The following is a 24377-nucleotide window of genomic DNA, read 5'->3' on the forward strand; positions in this document are numbered from 1 at the left end:
AATTCTTTTGCCTTCTGGTATTAACAACTGATGAATAGATGGACGGACGGACAGACGGACGGATGGATGGATGGATAGATATTGTAAAGAAGCAAACTTGATACTTTTCACATTTTCATATTTGGTATCCTGTAAGGCAGTGTCACATCATTAATGCCTTTGATTTTTAATTTATCTGATGTGGACCTTAGAAATTCATAGAGAAGATCTCAGTGAAAGCAATTAGATCTGTGCTTCTTCTACCTAAGGGCTCCCATTCTCTTCTTCCTACTCATATGTACATAGTCCTCACAAGGCCATTGGAAAATTAAACTCCTAGAGTGGGTTCTGGTTCTCACCCTGTAATTGAGCCTGGCACTCTCACTCTGCAGCCCTTTTAACCTCTCTATTGTGCTTTCCAATAATCCCTCATTTTCTCTGTGGCAGTCACCTCTGTCAGAAGCATATTAGAATTGGCACCACTCTCATTCCACACAGAAAAAGGAGCATCCCCTTATATCTCCCTGCCTTATCCCGTAGTGAATACTGTGTGCTCTGAAAAATATCCTGGTCCTAATGCCATTATAGGATGCCTTGCAGAGGCCTATGTGTGCCTCTGATATTCTTAGGTTCTGAGATTTGGGTTGAATCCATTTTCTCATGAGCCTTCCAGATGCATTCCCACTAATGAGTTTGTGCTCAGGAGGTCCCTTGGTGGAATATTTTCTCACCTGTACCCCTGTGGCATTGGTTCAGAATTTCTGTACTCAAAGCATCCCTATTATATGTTGGTCACCCTAATTTGAGCATGTGTTCCCCAAGATTAAAAGCTATATCTTCCTGGCCGGGCATGGTGGCTCATGCTTGTAATCCCAGCACTTTGGGAGGCCAAGGTGGGTGGATCATGAGGTCAAGAGATCGAGACCATCCTGGCCAACATGGTGAAACCCCGTCTCTACTAAAAATAGAAATATTAGCCGGGCATGGTGGTGCTCACCTGTAGTCTCAGCTACTTGGGAGGCTGAGGCAGGAAAATCGCTTGAACCCAGGAGGCAGAAGTTGCAATGAGCCAAGATTGCGCCACTGCACCCCAGCCTGGCAACAGAACAAGACCCCGTCAAAAAAAAAAAAAAAAAAGGCTATACCTTTCTTAACTCTGGATCCCCAGCCCTTAGCATAGTACATAGCACATGGTATCTACATCTATCAAAAATAACAGCTTTTCTGGTCCATAGAAACAAAACAGTAAGTTGTCTGATAACAGTCAAAATAAAGTTAATCAAGTGGATTGACTTTATTTTTGTTATTTTCATCCAACTGAAACCTTATTCTCACATATACACTCTCTTCTTATCCCCCTTCCCTGCCTTATTTTCCTTTGTAGTACTTTTTTTTTTGAGACAGAGTCTCACTCTGTCACTCAGGCTGGAGTGCAGTGGTGCAGTCTTGGCTCACTGCAACCTCCGCCTCCCGGGTTCAAGCAATTCTTGTGCCTCAGCCTCCCAAGTAGCTGGGATTACAGGCGAGCGCCACTATGCCTGGCTAATTTTTGTGTTTTTAGTAGAGACAGGGTTTCACCATGTTGCCCAGGCTGGTCTCGAACCCTTGGCCTCAAGTGATCCACCCACCTCAGCCTCCCAAAGTGCTAGGATTATAGGTGTGAGCCACCATGCCCGACTTTCTTTGAAGTACTTTCTAATGTGTATTTATTTTGTTTACTAGAATATAAATTCCATGAGGGCAGGGTTTTTTTTTTTTTTTTTTTTTTACTGGTGTCTCTGGAAAGTGTCAAACAATGCTTGTTATAGAATAGGACTTCAGAAAATAGTTGATAAGAAAACTGTTTCAGTATATACAAATGCAGCCTTAACATGGTATGTCTGTCTAATAGGAGAAAGTGTTGCTTTTTGCACTTTTAGGAAGCATACCACTCTTAAAGTTATAGATGCCTTATTTTCATTGAACATCATGTGAACTGTTTTCTAAAGCTCCCAAGTGAAATACACAATTAAATAGTTCTAATCAAATAAGCTACACTTCATTTTTAGGTTGCAAGTTTATAGCAACAAGTATGTATTGAAATCTATTTTGTGTCAGGCCATGCATTCAATAAGTACTTAGTATATGCCCTCAAAAAGCTTATAATAGGAGAGATATACAAGTACTATGATTGTGCTAGCACCGGGTTCCACCACCATACACAGGAGACACTCCTAACCCATTAGGGAGAGGTAGGAGGCAAGTGCATGTGATGTCAGAGAAGGCCTCCTGGGATAATTGACACCTATATTGAAATCTGACATTCAAATAGAAATTAGCAGGAAGATGATAGGGTCTCTGCTCTTTAGAAATGCACTATCTAATGGGGCAGACAAATAACACAAGCAACCAACCCTAACATACTGTGTTGTAAGAGAGATATGGTCATGAGTGCTCATTGAACATAGATGAGGAAGAGACTGATGCCTTTGGATAAAATAGAGAAAACATCCCATGGGAGGTAAAACTTGAGCTAGGTATTGAAAGACAGGGATATGTTAGAGAGAAGAAGTGGTTTATAAGGGAATGGAGATAAGAGCTGGCATTAGTGGTTTTGCAGGGAGTTATGAAAAGCTAAATCATAGAGCAGAAATGCTAAGAGATGAAGCTGGAGGTAGCCAAGAACCAAATCTTAAAGGACCTTGAACACCGTGCTACGGAGTTTGAAATTTATTCTAAGAGCAAGGAAGAAAATTGTGATGACCTCACCATGGAGATTTCTACCCGGACCACACTGAAAAGAAACACCATTAAGTGATTTAGTTGAGCATTTTGATCTGAAACAAAAGACAAGTATGTTGGAAAACATCGGAAAGAGACTTGAGGATTGGGAAAAGAAAAGAGAAATTAAGGCAGTGACATAGAGTTTTTCTGCTACAGTTTGGGACCTTAATCCTATATTCATATGTCTACTTGGCAAGGAGATACCCAGTGTAAATTAAAGGGCCAGTGGAGCTGGGTCAGTTTTCCAGGTTCTGATGGCCTTCAGCATAGATTTATCAGAGGCATATACTCCTTAGCATTAATAAGGATGTTAGAGAATGTCTCCTTGTGTGTACATGGGACTATCTTTAGTGACACTGATGTTGAGTAGATTAATAGTTACTCAAAGCTTTTCGTCAAGCCAACATCCCAGATATTCCTTGGAGCTACAGTGAGACCAAAAAGAGCAATTCAACAATATTTTTTTAAAAAGAATAATGTAATTTTGAAACTGAGAGATATGTGAGGTTTATTACTAGTTCCTTCTACTTTTACATATTTATTAATTTCATAATAAAAATATTTTTCTAAGTAGTATAGTACCCAAGAAACTGATAATAATAACTCAAATATATTTTTATCCTCATTCACTAAATTTATTTTCCTTTCCTACAACATTAGGCATAAATCTTTAAATGTACTGCTTATATGATACTTTAAAAATGTGTATTTTATTTATACAGTATTCTAAGAACAAAGTAATATAACGTGTAGGACATGTTACAAATAAGAACAAATTGCCAGCAACCCCAAAAATGTATGTATATCTGTGCAGGTTAGGGAGCGCAATTTATAAAATGCCATTGTATAGTATAGACATAGAACAAATTAGTATAAATATAGAACAAATGTGGATTCCCTTTTGTGTGTGTGTATGTGTGTGGCACTAATTTTCAGAAACAGTATTTCTTTAGACCCTTAAATTCTTTAACAGGCTTTATAAAAGGTACCCAACGTACCTTCCCCTTCTTCAGAATGCTGTTGAACGGTGGTATGGAGAGCCAACATGTACAACTCCCATCTTGAAACTTATGGCAGAACTTATGCAAAACAGGTAAGCAGTGTGACAGGCAGTGAGAAAAACAGTCTACTATTAGCGGAAATCTCCAACAGTCAGACTTTCTTTTTTGGTTTGTGTCTTTCCAAGGTAGTTAGCAAGAGCCCAGGAACCAAGACTTAAGATGATTAGTGAAAACAGAATTAGAGACATACGATTGAGGCCTTTTGAGAGAAAAAAGTACAGTATACTTGGCTGTCTATGGGGACTAGGGAAATGGAAAATAAATTGGAAGACTGCAGCCACCATTATTTAAAAATTCAAAGGTACGAAATGAAGGGAGGGCAGCTATTTTAACTATTTCAGTGCTTAAATGCAATTCTATAGAATTTTAAAGCAGGAAAGAAGTTTAGAGGTCTCTGAGTTGAGATGCTTTATTTGATGGATAAGGAAACTGGTTCTCACAGCAATTCAATTCATGGGAACATAGTTTGCCTCAGAAGCTCTGGGAATTATTCCTGCTTTCACTTCTAAGCTATACTTCTTCCTTTATGCCAAGATGCATGTATTTGGATGATTTATACACTCACAGTTTTCATTGAGAGAGCAACTATAATACTTCTCTGAAATTGCCCAGTTGACCTTATAATTTGCATAGACTGGCAGAAATTCAAATATTCTCCATATAAATATTAACAAAGATGTAGCTAAAAGAGAAAATCTGGCAATAAGCTAATTGGGCTTAAAATATGTCATTGTGGATATGGCTTAGCACCAAATTACATGTCACTTAGCCATCCTGTTTCATGAGTTGCCCTTTGTAAACTATGTGTTTAGAAGGGAGGTATCCAGACAGGGAAGGGTATGGGTTGCAGCTCTAATGTTATCTCTGGTGCTGAGTTTTTCACAGCAATAATTTAAAGTTTTTACCCTAAAACAAGAGATGAAGAAAGACCTTGCAAATAAAGAAATGTGTGTATCATTTTTTTTAAAGCTTTTCATTTTTAAAAGCCACTCTCATAGGTGCCTTAAAGGAAGGGTGGCTTTGTATTTTATATTAAAAATTTAGTTTGCTTTTTAATTATATTTCCATTTTTTTAACCAGAAAATTAATATTATGTATTACTGATAGAACATTTAATACTAAAGGGAAAAAATCATTGCATTGTATATTATAAAGTATTTTATGTCAGCCACAGGCAGATGATTTTTTTTTTAAATTTAAGTTCTGGGATACATGTGCAGAACATGCAGGTTTGTTACATAGGTATACATGTGCCATGGTGGTTTGCTGCACCTATCAACCCAACCCATCACCTAGGTTTTAAGCCCCACATGCATTAGGTATTTGTCCTAATGCTTTCCATCCCCTTGCCCCCCATCCCCCAACAGGCCCCGGTGTGTGATGTTCCCCTACCTGTGTCCATGTGATCTCATTGTTCAACTACCACTTATGAGTGAGAACATGTGGTGTTTGGTTTTATGTTCCTGTGTTAGTTTGCTGAGAATGATGGCTTCCAGCTTCATCCATGTCCCTGCAAAGGACATGAACTCATTCTTTTTTTATGGCTGCATAGTGTTCCGTGGTGTATATGTGCCACATTTTCTTTATCCAGTCTATCATTGATGGGCATTTGGGTTGGTTCCAATCTTCGCTATTGCAAATAGTGCTGCAGTAAACATACATGTGCATGTATGTTTACAGTAGAATGATTTATAATCCTTTGGTATATACCCAGTAATGGGATTGCTGGGTCAAATGATATTTCTGGTTCTAGATCCTTGAGGAATCACCACACTGTCTTCCACAATGGTTGAACTAGTTTACACTCCCACCAACAGTGTAAAAGCATTCCTGTTTCTCCACAGCCTGACCAGCATCTGTTGTTTCCTGACTCTTTAATGATCGCCATTCTAATGGGCATGAGATGGTATCTCATTGTGGTTTTGATTTGCATTTCTCTAATGACTAGTGATGATGAGCTTTTTTTTCACATACTTGTTGGCCACATAAATATCTTCTTTTGAGAAGTGTCTGTTTATATCCTGTGCCCACTTTTTGATGGAGTTGTTTGTTTTTTTCTTGTAAATTTGTTTAAGTTCCTTGTAGATTCTGGATATTAGACCATTGTCAGATGAGTAGCTTGCAAAAATTTTCTCCCATTCTGTAGGTTGCCTGTTCACTCTGATGATAGTTTCTTTTGCTGTGCAGAAGCTCTTTAGTTTGATTAGATCCCGTTTGTCAATGTTGGCTTTTGTTGCAATTGCTTTTGGTGTTTTCATCATGAAGTCTTTGCCCATGCCTATGTCCTGAATGGTATTGCCTAGGTTTTCTTCTAGGATTTTTATGGTTTTGGTTTTTACGTTTAAGTCTTTTATCCATCTTGAGTTAATTTTTGCATAAGGTGTAAGGGGTCCAGTTTCAGTTTTCTTCATATGGCTAGCCAGTTTTCCCAGCACCATTTATTAAATAGGAGATTTTTTCTCCATTGGTTGTTATTGTCAGGTTTGTCAAAGATCAGATGGTTGTAGATGTGTGGTGTTATTTCTGAGGCCTCTATTCTGTTCCATTGGTCTGTATATCTGTTTTGGTACCAGTATCATGCTATTTTGGTTACTGTAGCCTTGTAGTATAGTATGAAGCCAGGTAGCATGATCCCTCCAGCTTTGTTCTTTTTGCTAAGGATTGTCTTGGCTATACGTGCCCTTTTTTGGTTCCATATGAAATTTAAAGTAGTTTTTTCTAGTTCTGCGAAGAAAGATACTGGTAGCTTGATGGGAATAGCATTTAATCTATAATCTATAAATTACTTTGAGCAGGATGGCCATTTTCATGATACTGATTTCTTCCTATCCATGAACATCAAATGTTTTTCCATTTGTTTGTGTCCTCTCTTATTTCCTTGAGTACTGGTTTGTAGTTCTCCTTAAAGAGGTCCTTCACATCCCTTATAAGTTCTGTTCCTAAGTATTGTATTCTCTTTGTAGCAATTACAAATGGGAGTTCACTCATGATTTGGCTCTCTGCCTGTCTATTGTTGGTATATAGGAATGCTTGTGATTTTTGCACATTGATTTTGTATCCTGAGACTTTGCTGAAATTGCTTATCAGTTTAAGGAGTTTTTGGGCTGAGACGATGAGGTTTTCTAAATATACAATCATGTCATCGGCAAACAGAGACAATTTGACTTCCTGTCTTCCTATCTGAATAACCTTTATTTCTTTCTCTTGCCTGATTGCCCTGGTCAGAACTTCCAGTACTTCATTGAATAGGAGTAGTAAGAGAAGGCATCGTTGTCTTGTGCTGGTTTTCAAAGGGAATGCTTCCAGTTTTTGCCCATTCAGTATGATATTGGCTGTGGGTTTGTCATTAATAGCTCTTATTATTTTGAGATATGTTCCGTCAATACCTAGTTTATTGAGAGTTTTTAGCATGGAGGGATGTTGAATTTTATCGAAGGCCTTTTATGCGTCTGTTGAGATAATCATGTGACTTTGTTATTGGTTCTGTTTATGTGATGGATTATGTTTATTGATTTGCATATGTTGAACCAGCTTTGCATCCCAGGGATAAAGCCAACTTCATCGTAGTGGATAAGCTTTTTAATGTGCTGCTGGATTCTGTTTGCCAGTATTTTATTGAGGATTTTCACGTCGATGTTCATCAGGGATATTGGCCTGAAATTTTATTTTTTTGTTGTGTCTCTGCCAGGTTTTGGTATCAGGATGATGGTGGCCTCATAAAATGAGTTAAGGAGGGGTCTGTCTTTTTCTATTGTTTGGAATAGCTTCAGAAGGAATGGTACCAGCTCCTCTTTGTACCTCTGGTAGAATTTGGCTGTGAATCTGTCTGGGCTTTTTTTGGTTGATAGGCTATTAATTACTGCCTCAATTTCAGAACTTGTTATTGGTCTTTTCAGGGATTTGACTTGCTCCTGGTTTAGTCTTGGGAAGGTGTATGTATCCAGGAGTTTATCCATTTCTTCTAGATTTTCTAGTTTATTTGTGTAGAGGTGTTTATAGTATTCTCTGATGGTATTTGTATTTCTGTGGGATCAGTGGTGATATCCCCTTTATCATTTTTATTGCATCTATTTGATTCTTCTTCTTTATTAGTCTAGCTAGTGGTCCATCTATTTTGTTAATTTTTTCAAAAAAACAGCTCCTGGATTCATTGATTTTTCAAAGGGTTTTTCATGTATCTCCTTCAGTTCTGCTCTGATCTTAGTTATTTCTTGTCTTCAGCTAGCTTTTGAATTTGTTTGCTTTTGGTTTTCTATTTCTTTTAATTGTGATATTAGGGTGTCTATTTTAGAGCTTTCCAGCTTTCTCTTGTGGGCATTTAGTGCTATAAATTTCCCACCTAACACTGCTTTAGCTGTGTCCCAGAGATTCTAGTACGTTGTCTCTTTGTTCTCATTGGTTTTAAGGAACTAATTTTTTTCTGCCTTAATTTTGTTATTTACCCAGTAGTCATTCAGGAGCAGGTTGTTCAGTTTCCATGTAGTTGTGTGGTTTTGAGTGAGTCTCTTAATCCTGAGTTCTAATTTGATTGCACTGTGGTCTGAGAGACAGTTTGTTATGATTTCTGTTCATTTGCATTTGCTGAGGAGTGTTTTACTTCCAATTATGTGGTCGATTTTAGAATACATGCTTTGTGACACTGAGAAGAATGTATATTCTGTCGATTTGGGGTGGAGAGTTCTGTAGATGTCTATTAGGTTTACTTGGTCCAGAGCTGAGTTCAAGTCCTAAATCTCCTTGCTAATTTTCTGTCTCATCAATCTGTCTAATATTGACAGTGGGCTGTTGAAGTCTCCCACTATTAGTGTGTGGGAGTCTAAATCTCTTTATATGTCTCTAAGAACTTGTTTCATGAATCTAGGTGCTCCTGTATTGGGTGCTCCTGTATTGGGTGCATGTATATTTACGTTAGCTCTTCACGTTGCATTGATCCCTTTAGCATTATATAACGCCCTTCGTTGTCTTTTTTGATCTTTGTGGGTTTAAAGTCTGTTTTATCAGAGACTAGATTGCCACCCTTTTTTTTTTTTCCTTTCCATTTGCTTGGTAAGTATTCCTCCATCCCTTTATTTCGAGCCTGTCTGTGTTTTTGCATGTGAGATGGGTCTCCTGAATACAGCACACCGATGGGTCTTGACTCTTTATCCAAGTTGCCTTCTGTGTCCTTTAATTGGGGCATTCAGCTCATTTACATTTAAGGTTAATATTATGTTTCAATTTGATCATGTCATCATGATGCTAGCTGGTTATTTTGCACATTAGTTGATGCAGTTTCTTCATAGTGTCATTGGTCTTTGTATTTTGGTGCGTTTTTGCAGTGGCTGGTTTTTCCTTTCCATATTTAGCACTTACTTTAGGAGCTCTTGTAAGGCAGACCTGGTGGTGACAAAATCCCTCAGCATTTGCTTGTCTGTAAAAGATTTTATTTCTTCTTTGCTTATGAAGCTTAGTTTGGCTGGATATGAAATTCTGGGTTGAGAATTCTTTTCTTTAAGAATGTTGAATATTGGCCCCCACTCTCTTCTGGCGTATACAGTTTCTGCAGAGAGATTTGCCATTAGTCTGATGCACTTCCCTTTGTAGGTAACCTGACCTCTCTCTCTGGCTGCCCTTAACATTTTTTCCTTCGTTTCAACCTTGGAGAATCTGACGATTATGTGTCTCAGGTTGCTCTTCTCAAGGAGTGTGTTAGTGGTGTTCTCTGTATTTCCTGAATTTGAATGTTGGCCTGTCTTGCTAGGTTGGGGAAGTTCTTTTGGATAATATCCTGAAATGTGTTTTCCAACTTGGTTCCATTCTCCTCATCACTTTCAGGTACAGCAGTCAATGGCAGGTTTGGTCTTTTCACATAGTCCCATTTTTCTTGGAGGCTTTGTTCTTTCCTTTTCATTCTTTTTTCTCCAATCTTGTCTTCATACTTTATTTCATTAAGTTGATCTTCAGTCTCTGATATCCTTTCTTCTGCTTGATCGATTTGGCTATTGATACTTGTGTATGCTTCACAAAGTTCTCATGCTGTGTTTTTCAGCTCCATCAGGTCATTTATGTTCTTCTCTAAACAGATTATTCTAGTTAGCAGCTCCTCTAACCTTTTATCAGTGTTCATAGCTTCCTTGCATTGGGTTAGAACATGCTCCTTTAGCTTGGAGGAGTTTGTTATTACCCACCTTCTGAAGCCTACTTCTGTCAATTCATCAAACTCATTCTCCGTCCAGTTTTGTGCCCTTGCTGGAGAGGAGCTGTGATCATTTGGAGGAGAAGAGGCATTCTGGTTTTTGGAATTTTCAGTGTTTTTTGTGCTGGTTTTTCCTCATCTTCGTGTATTTATCTACCTTCAATCTTTGAGGCTGATGACCTTTAAATGGAGTTTTTGTATGGGGGTCCTTTATGTTGATGTTGATGTTGTTGCTTTCTGTTTGTTAGTTTTTCTTCTAACAGGCCCTTCTGCAGGTCTGCTGCAGTTTGCTGGAGGTCCACTCCAGATCCTGTTTGCCTGGGTATCACCAGTGGAGGCTGCAGAACAGCAAATGTTGCTGCCTAATCTTTCCTCTGGGAAGCTTTGTCTCAGAGGGGCACCCGGCCTTATGAGGTGTCAGTCACCCCCCTACTGGGAGGTGCCTCCCGGTTAGGCTACTCGGGAGTCAGAGACCCACCCGCCTTCTGCATTGGTCTCGCTGGGAGCTGCAGACCGTAGCTGTTCCTATTTGGCCATCTTGGTCCCTCCCCAGATGATTCTTTTTTTTTTTTTTTTTTTTTTTTTGAGACAGAGTCTCACCTTGTTGCCCAGGCTGGAGCGCAGTGGCCCTATCTCGACTCATTGCAACCTCCACCTCCCAGGTTCAAGTGATTCTCCTGCCTCAGCCTCCTGAATAACTGGGATACAGGCACATGCCACCACACCTGGCTAATTTTTGTGTTTTCAGGAGAGACAGGGTTTCGCCATATTGGCCAGGCTGGTCTTGAACTCCTGACCTCAGGTGATCCACCCATCTCGGCTTCCCAAAGTGCTGGGATTACAAACATGAGCCACCGCGCCTGGTCCAAATGATTCTTATCTAGCACAATTGTCCTAAGAATTACCTTGTGAAATTTTGTTATTTTGGAAAATGTTATCTTTTCTATATTTCTCTAGAATTTAATGCAAATTATGTATATGCATTTCTTTAATCAGAACTTGTATGCCAGCAATCATGTTCATAATAATATTTCTAATAGGTAATCATTGTACTTAATACTAAAGCATTTTTAAAAAGCATGGAAAAGCAAAAATTTGTTTTATTCTTGGTAAACAGGTCTTTAGCAATGTCTTGCTTTTTGGTAGTTTTTGTTTTGCTAATCCTTTTTTCAAAATGCCACTTCTTCTTAAAAGCCAAAGCAATTGTTTAAAAATCAAATATGTCAGGAGGTCATGTTAGTTCTTTACCCTGTTCACACTTGCCCAACCCCAGTAGGAACCAGGAAAGTAGAATTGCTACTCATAGGTGAACTTATGAGATTTGTTTCTCTTTACTGAAGTTGTATGCAGTGGAAACTGTAATGTGTTTGAAATATGCCTGAAGTGTCAGGTAATTCTTTACACATATGTGCAGTATTTTAAAAGTACCAGATTTCCTACTCATCACTTTAGAATTTGTTTTAAAAATGTGTATCAGGCACTGTAGGAAATCTCAAATGGAAATATATATCATTATCCAAGTATTTGTCTAAACTTAGACACCTGGGGTGTTTTATTATTATCCATCATCCAGTTGGCATGAAAGAAGGGGCAAGAAATCTGTGATAAAGAATGTCAGGATATTGTTTTGACAGATAAAAAATGAACTCTTTGAATTAGCAAATAAATGAAAATAATTCTTCTTAATTGTCCTACTATCTTTAGAGTGAAGAAATTAGCATACGTATTTTATCAACAGTTGTTTATAAAATGGAGTGGAACTTTAAGAGACAATTGTACTGCTGCTACTTCTTATAAATGAAAATCCTAGGCATTTTAAATCTGTGTTTGGTTTCTTTATCTTCACATATAGGCAATTTTTTTCTATATTTCTTAGATCCCAGCGTTTGAATTTTGATGTATCATCTCCTAATGGAATTCTTCTCTTCAGAGAAGCTAGTAAAATGGTTTGCACTTATGGTGAGTGTCCTTTTCCATATGTGCCTCTGCAATATAGTTTTATCTCTTTAGAGGAAAGAAAGATGTTAGTTATTTTGTTCTTTTGAACTTTCATATCTTTATGAATTTGTGAAGTCGGTAATACAAGTGCAAAAAGCCAGTTAGCTATCATATTGGCATCAGGAGAAGTAAGCAGCATGCCTTTGACTAAATCATGCCTGACCAACTTGATGAATTTCTTTTGGATAAAATTGCAGTGTCAGTAGATGAGGGAATACACTAGGTAGAATATTGAAAAGTTACAGCATATTCAAAATTGCTCAAAGTTACATCAGGGAGTTTGCTATGTTGAACCAAGGAATGCTTAAAGCAGAATGTCACTGAATTGTGGGAAAATATCCTTGTAAAGAGCAGTAAATATTTCATTATGAAGAACTTTTGGGTACTGCGCCTCTAGAAGCAGAGTTCTACAGGAAAGATTGTCCTATTCAATTAAAGTCCAAAATAGTATTTGGTTAGCAGTTTGGGCCTTAAAACTATAATAAACTCTAATAATTGCCAATTCTGACACTGTCATCAATGAAATTCTCTACTCTCTGAGACCTTTATGTAGATAAGGAATGGAGATGGGATGGATAAAAATCCTCTGTAATCTAATTTGGCACACAGTGACTGAATGGCAACTGAGCTGGGCTCTGTGCAATGCACTTCTCCTTGAGGAATGTTTCCCTGTGTCCTTTTTTTCCCTCTCTGTTCTTTCCCAAATCTACAGCAAACTGTTAAGTAAATTTAGTCTGTAAAGTTGCCTGTTATTCTTTTTTTTTTGAGACGGAGTCTCACTCTGACACCCAGACTGGACAGTGCAGTGGCACGATCTCAGAGCTCACTGCAACATCCACATCCCAGGCTCAGGTGATCCTCCCACCTCAGCTTCCCGAGTAGCTGTGGTTATAGGCACGCCACCACGCCTGGCTAATTGTTGTATTTTTAGTAGAGATGGGGTTTCACCTTGTTGGCCAGGCTGGTCTTGAACTCCTGACCTCAAGTGATCCACCCACCTCAGCCTCCCAAAGTAATGGGATTACAGGCATGAGCCACTGCACCCAGCCGTGATTCTAATATTTGGGTACCCAGAAACAAATTGTACAAAATTTTGTAAAATCTCTTTATTTTAATTCTGTATGTGTTTGTGTATGTATGTAAGAACAACCAATAGAAGCCTTGTCACTTTTTTTAAAGTAAAAGCCTATTTTAAAAAGAAAAAAATGGGTGTTTTAAGTTGTTTTTACCTCATTTCAGAACACATTCTGGGGATCTGAGCTGTATACATTGTAGGCCTCCATTAAAAATACTTCATTTTAATTGCACATCTGATTTGTAGAATTTGAGATTTTTTCATGTGTAAAAACTAGAGAAAGCACCTGTATAGGACAGTAAACTTGTACTCTCTTATTTTCATCTGTACCAGTAACTACATTGCCACAACTTTTGTATCCTGTTTGAAAATAGACACATTAAAATCATATAAAGTGGGCTGGGCACAGTGGTTTATGCCTGTAATCCCAGCACTTTGGGAGGCCAGGGCGGGCGGATCACTTGAGGCCAGGAGTTCGAGACCATCCTGGCTAACATGGTGAAACCCCGTCTCTACCAAAAATACAAAAAATTAGCCAGGCGTGGTGGCGGGCACCTGTAATCCCAGCTACTCAGGAGGCTGAGGCAGGAGGATCGTTTGAACCCGGGAGGCAGAGGTTGCAGTGAGCCAATATTGCACCATTGCACTCCAGCCTGGGCAACAAGAGTGAAACTCTGTCTCAAAAAATAAAATAAAAATAAAATCATATAAAGTGGAAATGCTTTGCCTCCTAGAGGTAAAAATGAACCCCTTTAAAAAATTTTCTAAATACAATTTGCCATACTTTTTGTATATATCTAATTCCATTCTATGTTTTATCATATAAGATGTGTGTCTGGACCTTTTTTCAAAAACAGCATGGTATATTAGAAAAAGCACAGTTTTCAGATTTGCAAGATCTCAGTACTAATCCTGTTACCAATACTTACCGACTTCATGACCTTCAGCTAAAATACTATATATACCTCTTTGTGGCTAGTTTTCTTTTGTATAAAATTAGGACTACTAAATACCTACTGACTTATCTGCCTAGTTGGGATTAAGAAGGCTAATTGAGCTATTCTGGTAAAAGGCCTGGCACAGGAGGTAACATGGAAGAGTTACTCGCTGTTTATGCCTCTCCTTCCAAAGCCTTTCTCTTATACTCACCAACCCAGCCTTCTTTGGACAGGGGTTCAACAACCCACATCATTGTTTTGCTCAGCAGTGTTTCCTGTTTGGACCACACTGCCCTGCTTCCTCTGCCTGTAGCCAGTGATTAGTTTTTATTTCCTCTCTTATTTAAAGGAAATAAACAGCATATATGTATAAGAATCTCTTAGTAATCAGTAGAACTTTAACTATGCATATGTTAGATTCCTGTTACCAGTCACAGTTGTGTCATTCCTACCCCTTTTTCTGGATCTTTCTTTTCACTAAATATATTTTTTCCTTTAGGGTTTATTTACTGTTGCACTAGGGCTGTTAAGGGAAGTGAGCTTCCTCTTCCAGTGTCACTGACTTTCTAGGACAGAATGTATGTCCAGTAAGTGACACCAAAAGGATTCTCACAGAATAATGCCAAATCTATGGGCTTCAAAGGTTGTTCTGTTCTCTGTTGGGTTGTCTGACATAGAAAAAGGCATTGCAGCAAAAGTTGAGAAAAATAACTATGTGAGGATTATGTCGGAGGAGGAGGAAGAGGAGACAGAAGAGAAAGGAAATGAAGGGATAGGAGAAGTGAAGTGGAGTGGGGGAAGAGACAAAACGTCCAGAGCATTCTTGCAAAGAAAAGCCAGTAAGGAGTTTTCTTACACGGAAGAAAGATGAGATTAGAGTAAGGCTCTGCTCCTCAATTTAGACTAATAGTATTGGTAGCTTTCACTTTGTTATAAGCTTTTATAGTCCTATATTAGACCATTTACCATACATTACCCTGTTGAATCCTCAAGGTAGGTATTATATGCTACTCACTAGTTAATATGACCTTGGTTAAGTTGTAAGCCTCTCTTGCTTCAGTTTCTTGTTAGAGAAAATACTTCATGCCTCAAAGACATGGTTGTGAGAATTCAGTTAGGTAATGTATGGAAAGCCCTTAGACTAGTTAACGACTGTGATTACTGTTGTGAAGAAATTGAAGCTCACAGAGGTTAAAAAAAATTGCCAAATATTACATAGCTAGCAAGTAGCTGAATTGGAATTTCATTCAGTCATACTGACAGTGGTCTTTTCATATTCTTTACTGCCTCTTGGGAGTTGCCAAAGTAAGATTTTACCATGGATATTTATGATGAAGCACTGTTCTTTAAAGTATGGTGATTTCTATCTCAAAACTTAAAGGAAATCAAAGTTTCAATGAAAAAAATGTCCTTCAACTGGGTCACCAGTGACTTTGACAGTGACTTTGATACATGCACTTTACATAGAATAATAGAAAAATGTTTCTTAACCTCTACTGATTCTCTTGCTGGTCCACATCAGCCATCTGATTTGTCTGTCTTTACCTTCTGTAATGTTTTATTACCCAGGCTTTTACCTCTGGAAATTCTAATATACACATTGGAGGAAGATCATGTAGTTGCCATTCAGGAGTCTAGAAGATGAGGGAAAGAGTGACTGGGAGGGCACAGAAGAGCCAGCACTGTTTATCTCTTTGGTAAGCCCAGGTGAAGGAAAGGGAAGCCAGTGGAGGAAAGAGGCCAGAACATTCTGTGATCCCTTCTGTTTCCATCCTCACTGGGTTCTTCTCTGATCACCTCTCCTGAGCAGTTTTTGGTTATGATCAGGGCGGTGCAGAGAGGGAAGGAAGCATTTCCAAATGCAACTGACTTGTTATGTATTTTGTGAAATACCTCCGCCTCACTGCTCTGTGAGACTGGCAGAAAAATAATACTTTTGATATGCTGTTTTATTTATCTACAGTCTGTCATGATATACTTTGATGTAAGTTTTTAATTTTGCTTCAGCTCTCAGCTCCTCTTGCCGTTACAGCTCAGGGTCAGCAATGAGGTTAGCCACAGTAGCACAAAACAATTTCCTGTTTGTACAGCCCAGGTAACATTTGGATGAGGATTAAATTTTACCACATTTTCTACTAGCCCAAGCCTATTATTTCTAATGAGTTTTAAATTGCTTCAAGAACATGTATTTCAAAACTTAGTGCTACGATCCGTTCAGCCTGAGCAACTTAATAAAAGAAATTTCTTTCTTAAATTTTTGGTTAAAATGTTGCATGCAGTGTAATAAATGTTATTACTTTGGAAACCTACTTCTCAGTTTTAAGAACTGGATGATTTTTATGTTCAATTTCCATTTGTCTAATCTTTCCTTCTCTTTGCCTCTGGGTCCTGGTATCTTTAGTGACATCTGTTGGTTGAAGAGTGCACAGAAGGGAGAAATAATGATTGTTTTCATAAGACTGGCCAAAATAGAACTGCCTTCATTCTTTCCTTAGGTACCTGATTTAAGAACGCAATATATAAAGATTCTAAACTTTAAAAATGGATAGTACAAGCTATGATTATTCACTGTCATAAGAATTTACATCAGGATCCTTTTAAGCAGTGTATGCTCTGGGTGTATGTAAGGTATAACTTAATATGCATAAATTGAATTTGTAAAGTGTTATACAAGCCACTGTTATTCGTCACCACCTAGATAATAGGCCATTGGTTTTCACCCTTGGTTTTGCAGAGCTGTAGAGGCCTGTGAAAGTGCCACAGCAGCCCTCCAGAAAAAGGGGGAAAGAGGACCACTTTGCCACCTTGACCAGAACCACCCAGCTATGTAGTTACACTAGACTTGTTCGTAAAAGCTATCACCTGTTAGGACTTTTTTTAAAAAAGAGGCTGAAAATCACTTGCATGTACTATTAGAAGTGTTGTAAGAATGGAAGATTAAGATTGTATACAGGCATACTTCTTTTTGTTGTACTTTGCAGATACTGTGTTTTTTATAAATTGAAGGTTTGGAGCAACCCTGCATGGAGCAAGTATATCAGTGCCAGCATATGATTTCTTTGTGTCTCTGAGTCATATTAATAAATGTGTATTCTGACTGCTCTGCTTTGGCCATTCCCCATCTCTTCCCTTCTCCTCCCCACTCCCTATTCTCTGACACAGCAATATTGAAATCAGGCCAATGAATAACCCTACAATGGCCTACAAGTATTCAAGTGAAAGTAAGAGTTGTACATGTCTCACTTTAAATCAAAAGCTAGAAATGATTAAGCTTAGCGAAGAAGGCATGTCAAATGCTGAGACAGGTCAAAAGCTAGGCCTCTTGCACCAAACAGCCAAGTGGTGAATGCAAAGGAAAAGCTCTTGAAAGAAATTAAAAATTCTACACTAGCAAACACACAAATGATAAAAAAGTGAAACAACCTTATTGCTGACATGGAGAAGGTTTTAGTAGTCTGAGATCAAACCAGTCATAATATTCCCTTAAGGCAAAGCCTAATCCAGAGCAAGGCTCTAACTCTCTTCACTTCTGTGAAGGCTAAGAGAGGTGAGGAGGCTACAGAAGAAAAGTTGGAAGCTAGCAGAGGTTGGTTCATGAGGTTTACAGAAAAAGGCCACCTCCATAACATCAAAGTGCAAGGTGAAGCAGCAAGTGCTGATGGAGAAGCTGCAGCGAGTTATCATGAAGATCTAGCTAAGATTCATTTTGATGAAGGTGGCTACACTAAACAACATTTTTCACGGAGACAAAATGCTATTGGAAGAAGATGCCATCTAGGACTTTCACAGCTAGCGAGGTGTAAAGTCAATGCTTGGCTTCAAAGGACAGACTGAGTCTCTTGTTAGGGGTTAATGCTGACGGTGACTTGAAGTTGAAGCCAATGCTCAATTTACCATTTTGAAAATCCTAGGGCCCTTAAGAATTATGCTAAATCTACTCTGCATGTGCTCTAGAAGTATAGCAACAAAGACTGGATGACGGCACATCTGTTTACAGCATGCTTTACTGACCACTTTAAGCCCACTGTTGAAGCCTACTGCTCAGAAAAAGATCCCTTTCAAAAGGTTACTGCTCACTGACAGTGCACCTCGTCACCCAGGAGCTCTGATGGAGATGTACAAGGAGATTAATGTTGTTTTCATGTCTGCTAACACAACATGCATTCTGCAGCCCATGGATCAAGGAGTAATTTTGACTTTCAAGTCGTATTATATCAGAAATACATTCTGTAAGGCTGTAGCTGCCATAGATAGTGATTCCTCTGATGGATCTGGGCAAAGTAAATTGAAAGCCTTCCAGAAAGGATTCACTATTCTAGATGCCATCAAGAACATTTGTGATTCACAGGAGGAGGTGAAAATCAATATTTAGCGGGAGTTTGGAAGAAGTTGATTCCAACCCTCATGGGTGACTTTGAAGAGTTCAAGACTTCAGGGGAGAAATTAACTGCAGATGTGGTTGAAACAGCAAGAGACCTATAATTAGAAGTGGAGACTGAAGATGTGACTGAACTGCTGCAGTCTCATGATAAAACTTGAATGGATGAGGAGTTGCTTCTTCTGGATGACCAAAGAAAGTGGTGTCTTGAGATGGAATCTACTTGTGGCAAAAAGCTTTAAAATATGACATAACCTTAGTTGATAAAGTGGCAGCAGAGTTTGAGAGGATTGACTCCAATTTTTAAAGAAGTTCTCCTGTGGGTCAAATGCTAACAAACAGCATTGTATGCTACAGAGAAATCTTTTGTGAAAGGAAGTCAATTGATGCAGCAGATTTCATTGTTGTCTTATTTTAAGAAATTGCCACAGCCACCTCAACCTTTGGCCACTACCCTGATCAGTCAGCAGCTATCAACATCAAGACCAGCCTTCCACCAGGAAAACGATTACAACTCACTGAAGGCTCAGATGATTGCTAGCAATTTTTAGCAATAAAACATTTTTAATTATGATATATACATTATTATTTTAGAAACAAGGTTGTTGCACACTTAACAGACTACAGTACAGTGTAAACTTTTATATGCACTGAGAAACCAGAAAAAAAAAAGTGTGACTAACTTTATTGGGATATTTGCTTTATTGTAGTGGTCTGGAACTGAACTCACAATATTTCCAAAGTGTGCCTATAGTTATGTATAAATGATACTTATGTATAAATGATTACAAGAAGATAGCTAAATAATTCATTGGTCTTGAAATAACTAGAGAGTTAATAAAATATCACCAAAAAATAACAGTTCTCGAGAGAATAGATTGTCCAGGAACTATGGATATGGTCTTCGATCTTGTCAGTTGGTTAAGGCATATAATAACAAAGTAGCAGAGTAAGGTTCACAGAAGTCTTGTGGACACAGTGGAATGATCAACACCTTGGGATCCCAAAATCAGGATCAGGTGGCTTACAAAGCAAGGCCTTCAGGATGATAGCTGAACACATGCTTAGATTTCAGTGGATTCCTTCATCCATGCACCTAACATTTGTTGAGCATTTACTTTTTTGTTGTTTTTTTTGTTTGTTTTTTTCAGTCTTGCTCTGTCGCCCAGGCTGGAGTGCAATGGCACGATCTTAGCTCATTGCAACCTCTGCCTCCTGGGTTCAAGCAATTCTCCTGCCTCAGCCTCCCGAGTAACTGGGATTATAGGTGCCCGCCACCATGCCTTGCTAATTTTTGTATTTTTAGTAGAGATGGGGTTTCACCATGTTGGCCAGGCTGGTCTCAAACTCCTGACCTCAAGTGATCTGCCCACCTCGGCCTCCCAAAGTGCCAGGATTACAGGCGTGAGCCACTGCGCCTGGCTGAGCATTTGCTGTTAATACGTTTCTGATGCTGTGAGAGATAGGAAGATAAATAAGATGCAAAAGGAAAAAAAAAAAAAAAAAAGAATCCACCTGGGCGCAGTGGCTCACACCTGTAATCCCAGCACTTTGGGAGGCCAGGGCGAGTGGGTCACCTGAGGTTGGGAGTTCAAGACCAGCCTGACCAACATGGAGAAACCCCATCTCTACTAAAAATACAAAATTAGCCGGGCGTGGTGGTGCATGCCTATAACCCCAGCTACTCAGGAGGCTGAGGCAGGAGAATCGCTTGAACCCGGAAGGCAAAGGTTGCAGTGAGCCGAGATCGTGCCATTGCACTCCAGCCTGGGCAACAACAGCGAAACTCCGTCTCAAAAAAAAGAAAAAAAAGAATCTTATAGATTCTTCCCTTAAGGAACTTAAGTCCAGCAGGGGAGTCGGACAAATCAAGAAAGAATTATGATGTGTTGTGCTATGTGTTATCCTTGAGAAGTATTTAGAGTGCCATAGGAGCCCAGAAGAGATTTCTAGCTGAAACTGGGGGTTTAGAGAAGGCAATATTTCTTGAAGGGAAAAGAATAAGGCTCAGAAGTTTTAGAAGGGCATTTAAAGAAGAGAATAGATTTTACAAAGCACATAAATATAGAACAGCCTGGTTGGTTAGGAAACTTAAGGAATTTCAAAATTGCTGAAGACTAAAGCTAATGTTAAGGAGCTTTAGGCAGTGAGAGACGCCCAGTTAGTTATGTAGTAACTTTTGGGTCAAAGTAAAGAATTACAACTTTAGGCTGGGCACAGTGACTCATGCCTGTAATCCCAGCACTTTGGAAGGCCGAGGCGTGTGGATCACCTGAGGTCAGGAGTTCGAGACCAGCCTGGCCAACATGGCGAAACCCCATCTCTACTGAAAATACAAAAAATTAGTCAGGTGTGGTGGCGGGCACCTGTAATCCCAGCTACCTGGAAGGCTGAGGCAGGAGAATTGCTTGAACCTGGGAGGCAGAGGTTGCAGTGAGCTGAGATCGCACCTTTGCATTCCAGCCTGGGCGACAGAGCAAGACTCTGTTAAAAAATATATATATATATTACAACTTTATCCTTAAAGATATACATTCTTTAAGGAAAATACTGGATGGTATGACCATATTTACATTTTTGAGAAACCACTTTGATAGCGTTGTGGTAGGTGAATTATTTGGTGTAAAGCTAGAAGAGAGAGGAACAGAATTAGGCTTTTTTTGGTTTTGTTTTGTTTTTTTGTTGAGACAAGATCTCACTCTGTCACCCAGGCTGGAGTGCAGTGTCATGATCATAATTCACTGAACCCTCGAAGTCCTGGGCTCAGGTTATCCTCCTGCCTCAACTTCCTGAGTAGCTGGGACTACAGGCACGTACCACCATGCCTGGCTTTTTTTTTTTTTTTTTTGTAATTTTAAGTCGAGATAGGGCCTCACTATGTTGCCCAGGCTTTTCTCAAAACTCCTTACCTCAAGCAATCCTCCGCACTCAGCCTCCCAAAGTCCTTGGATCACAGGCTTGAGCCACCACGCCTGGCCAGAATTGTTATTTAAATTAGCATACAATCTTAGTAGACATAAAATTATGTCTACCTTTCCTATCTCAACATGATTCCCTCCTATATGATAATGTGATTTTACAAAATTTATATTATCACACAAAGAAAAGTATACCAGTTCTTGGGAATTTATAGAATCTTGTGTACTGTTTTGTACCAAATACTACTCTAAGACTATACGTAGGATCCTTGCCATCTTCAATATAGTTTTCTTTTTGTTAATATTCAGTCTAGGACAAGACATTCCCCAATACCTAATTCTATTGTTTGCACATGAGATCACTCAAGAAGTGGTTGCATCTGACTGAGAGACTAGAAGTAGGTTTTGCTGGTAGCTACCAGTTAACAATTGTGCGTCTAGTTGAAATTCCTTTCAACAAATAAGAAAAAATACATAATTATTTCAAAATAAACTCTGTAAGCTTTAAATACGGGGAATTTATTTTTTTTCTTTTTCGGTTACTTGGTATGGCTCCATGGAAAAGCAAGAATTATAAAAATGTCCCTAACCTTTATAAACTCATTTCTATTTTTCTTCTAATGTTGGAAATGATCTAATAATGGAAATAATCTAATGATAGAGGACAGCTAACTACAGCTAAAGATCCTTGATGTTACATTATTCATAATAGTGAAAAATGGGAAAACAAACAAAATGCTACAAATAGCAAAATGCTTGAAATAACATAGAAGGATATATCAGTTCAATGGAATAAATTGCAACCATTAAAAATTATCTTTTAAGATTACCTAGCTTATGGGAAATACAAATAATACCATGTAAAGGTAGAATTCAAATTTCACCTATGCTCTAGGTAATGTTAGACTTCTATATATGTGGCAACAGTTGAAAGAAAACAGAAACTTCAAAATAGTTTGAAATATTGAGGTTAAAAGTTAATGTTTTTAAGATTTTTATATCTACTAATATGCTTATAAAATAACCTATACAAAATCTTTTATTCAAAAAAGGTAGTGAATCATACTTAAATTTGTAATTAAATTATTGGACAACATTACTCTTGAGAGTTCAGAAACAAAATTACATCAGTGCTGAAATTCCATCTTCTATGTCAGCAACTTATGCTGTAAAGTTAAGGAAGGTATGGAACCACCATAAGCATACAGCCTGGGGTCCACTTGTACTACCATGTCTTTTTCTATCATGTTTTTCTGTACCTATCACTTTCTTTCTCATCTTTTTTCATGCAAAATAATTTCTTTTCTTTTTTTTCTTTTCTCTAACTATAAAATAATATACCCATGGGGGGGAAAAATCCAGCAATGTTATTTCAAAATAAATTCTGTAAGCTTTAAATTTTCCATTTTTCACTTGGTACAGGAAAAGAAAACCCCCCCATTCATCACCCAAAGTTAACCATTATTAACAGTTTAGTGTATGTGCCCTTCTATGCTTTTTATGTGTACATATACACATATTTTCCCAAAAGTGATATCATAATATACTTGCTAGTCTGTAATTTGTTGGTTTTTATTTATATTATGGTCATTGTTCTATGTTAACATATATAAATCTACCTCATCTTTTTAAATAGCTGCAAAATATTCCATTTTATAGTCATACTATAATTTATTAATCGCCTTTAGCTGAACATCTGCTTTTCCATTATCATACATAGTGCTTCAGTCAATAACTTTGTACATTCAGCTTTGTGAGTTTCAGTCATTCATTCAACAAATGTGTAATAAGAACAGCAGTTGCTGTTCCAGGTTCTTTGGATACCTCAGTGGGCAAACCAAAAAAGAAATTAACTAGTAATTAGAAGGTAGACTGGGCGCAGCTGCTCATGCCTGTAGTCCTAGCACTTTGGGAGGCTGATGCAGGATTGCTTGAGCCCAGGAGTTTGAGACTAACCTGGGCATCACTGTGAGACCCCGTCTCTATAAAAAAAATTAGAAAAGTAAAAGAAGGTAATAAGTGCTATTAAAAAAGAAAGAAAGAAAATAGATTAGGATAAGGGGGCATCTAAGTCCCAGAGAGTGAAACAACAGAAACTCTTAATTCACTGCTGGTAGAATGCAGAATGGCGCAGCCACTTTAGAAGACAGTTTGGCAGCTTCTTATGAAACTAAACACAGTCATTGTACGATCCAGTAATCATGCCCCTTGGTATTTATCCAAAGGCATCGAAAACTTACGGTCACACAAAAACATGCACACTGATACTTATAGCAGCTTTATTCTCAATTGCTAAAACTGATTTTTTTCAATAGGTGAGTGGATAAATAAACAACAGTACACCCAGACAATGGAATGTTATTCAGCACTAAAAAAAAATAAATAAAGCTAGAAAACTACAAAAAGATATGTAGGAACTGCAGTCCTCTTACTGAGTGAAAGAAGCCAATCTGAAAAGCCTTACATACTGTATAATCCCAACTACGTGACATTCTGGAAAAGGGAAAACTATGAAGACAGTAAAAGCTCAGTGGCTGCCAGTGGTTAGGGGACAGTGAAGGATGAATAGGCAGAGCAGAGGATTTGGAGGCATTGAAACTCTGTGTGATACTATAATGGTGGATGCATATTCATTATACATTTGTCCAAACCCATAAAAGGTACACCACCAACAGTGAACGCTGATGTAAACTATGACATTGACTGATAATGATATGTCAATATAGGTCCAGATTGTAACAAATGCACCACTCTAGTGGGGGATGTTGATAGTAGGGAAGCTGTGCATGTGTGGGGGCAGGAGATGTATGGTAATCGCTGTACCTCTCTCTCAGCTTTGCTGTGATCCTTAAACTCCTTATTGTAAAAAAAAAAAAAAAATACACACACACATCTTAAGTACCAGGGATTTAGGGACATGTTGCATTATTAGAGTGGTCAAGGTAGGTCTCATTGAAAATATGACATTTGAGTAAAGACTTCCAGTAAATGAGGGAGTTAGTCACGTGGATTCCTTGAAGACCAGTCTAGGCTGAGGAAACAGCAAGTGGTAGAGTCTTAAGGCGGGAGTGTATCTAGCTTGTCTGAAGGGC

General features: G+C 38.4%; 1 protein-coding gene across 13 annotated transcripts in view; it reads left to right on the top strand.

Moving 5' to 3' along the window:
* RANBP17 (RAN binding protein 17) overlaps window positions 1–24377 on the top strand; it is a 437998-nt gene that overhangs the window by 347886 nt on the left and 65735 nt on the right. For 7 of the 13 annotated variants that reach the window (XR_007058628.1, XM_011534627.2, XM_017009738.2 and 4 more), the window contains 2 exons: window positions 3716–3835; window positions 11855–11937. Coding sequence is in view for 12 of the 13 variants with exons in the window: in XM_011534627.2 (XP_011532929.1) it covers window positions 3716–3835; window positions 11855–11937 (203 nt within the window). In the remaining variant the exon portion in view is untranslated. The remainder of the gene's footprint in view (window positions 1–3715; window positions 3836–11854; window positions 11938–24377) is intronic. The other 6 variants (NM_022897.5, XM_017009739.2, XM_047417530.1 and 3 more) reach the window with 1 other exon arrangement.

This window comes from Homo sapiens, chromosome 5, assembly GCF_000001405.40.
Source record: "Homo sapiens chromosome 5, GRCh38.p14 Primary Assembly".
Taxonomy (NCBI): Eukaryota; Metazoa; Chordata; class Mammalia; order Primates; family Hominidae; genus Homo; species Homo sapiens.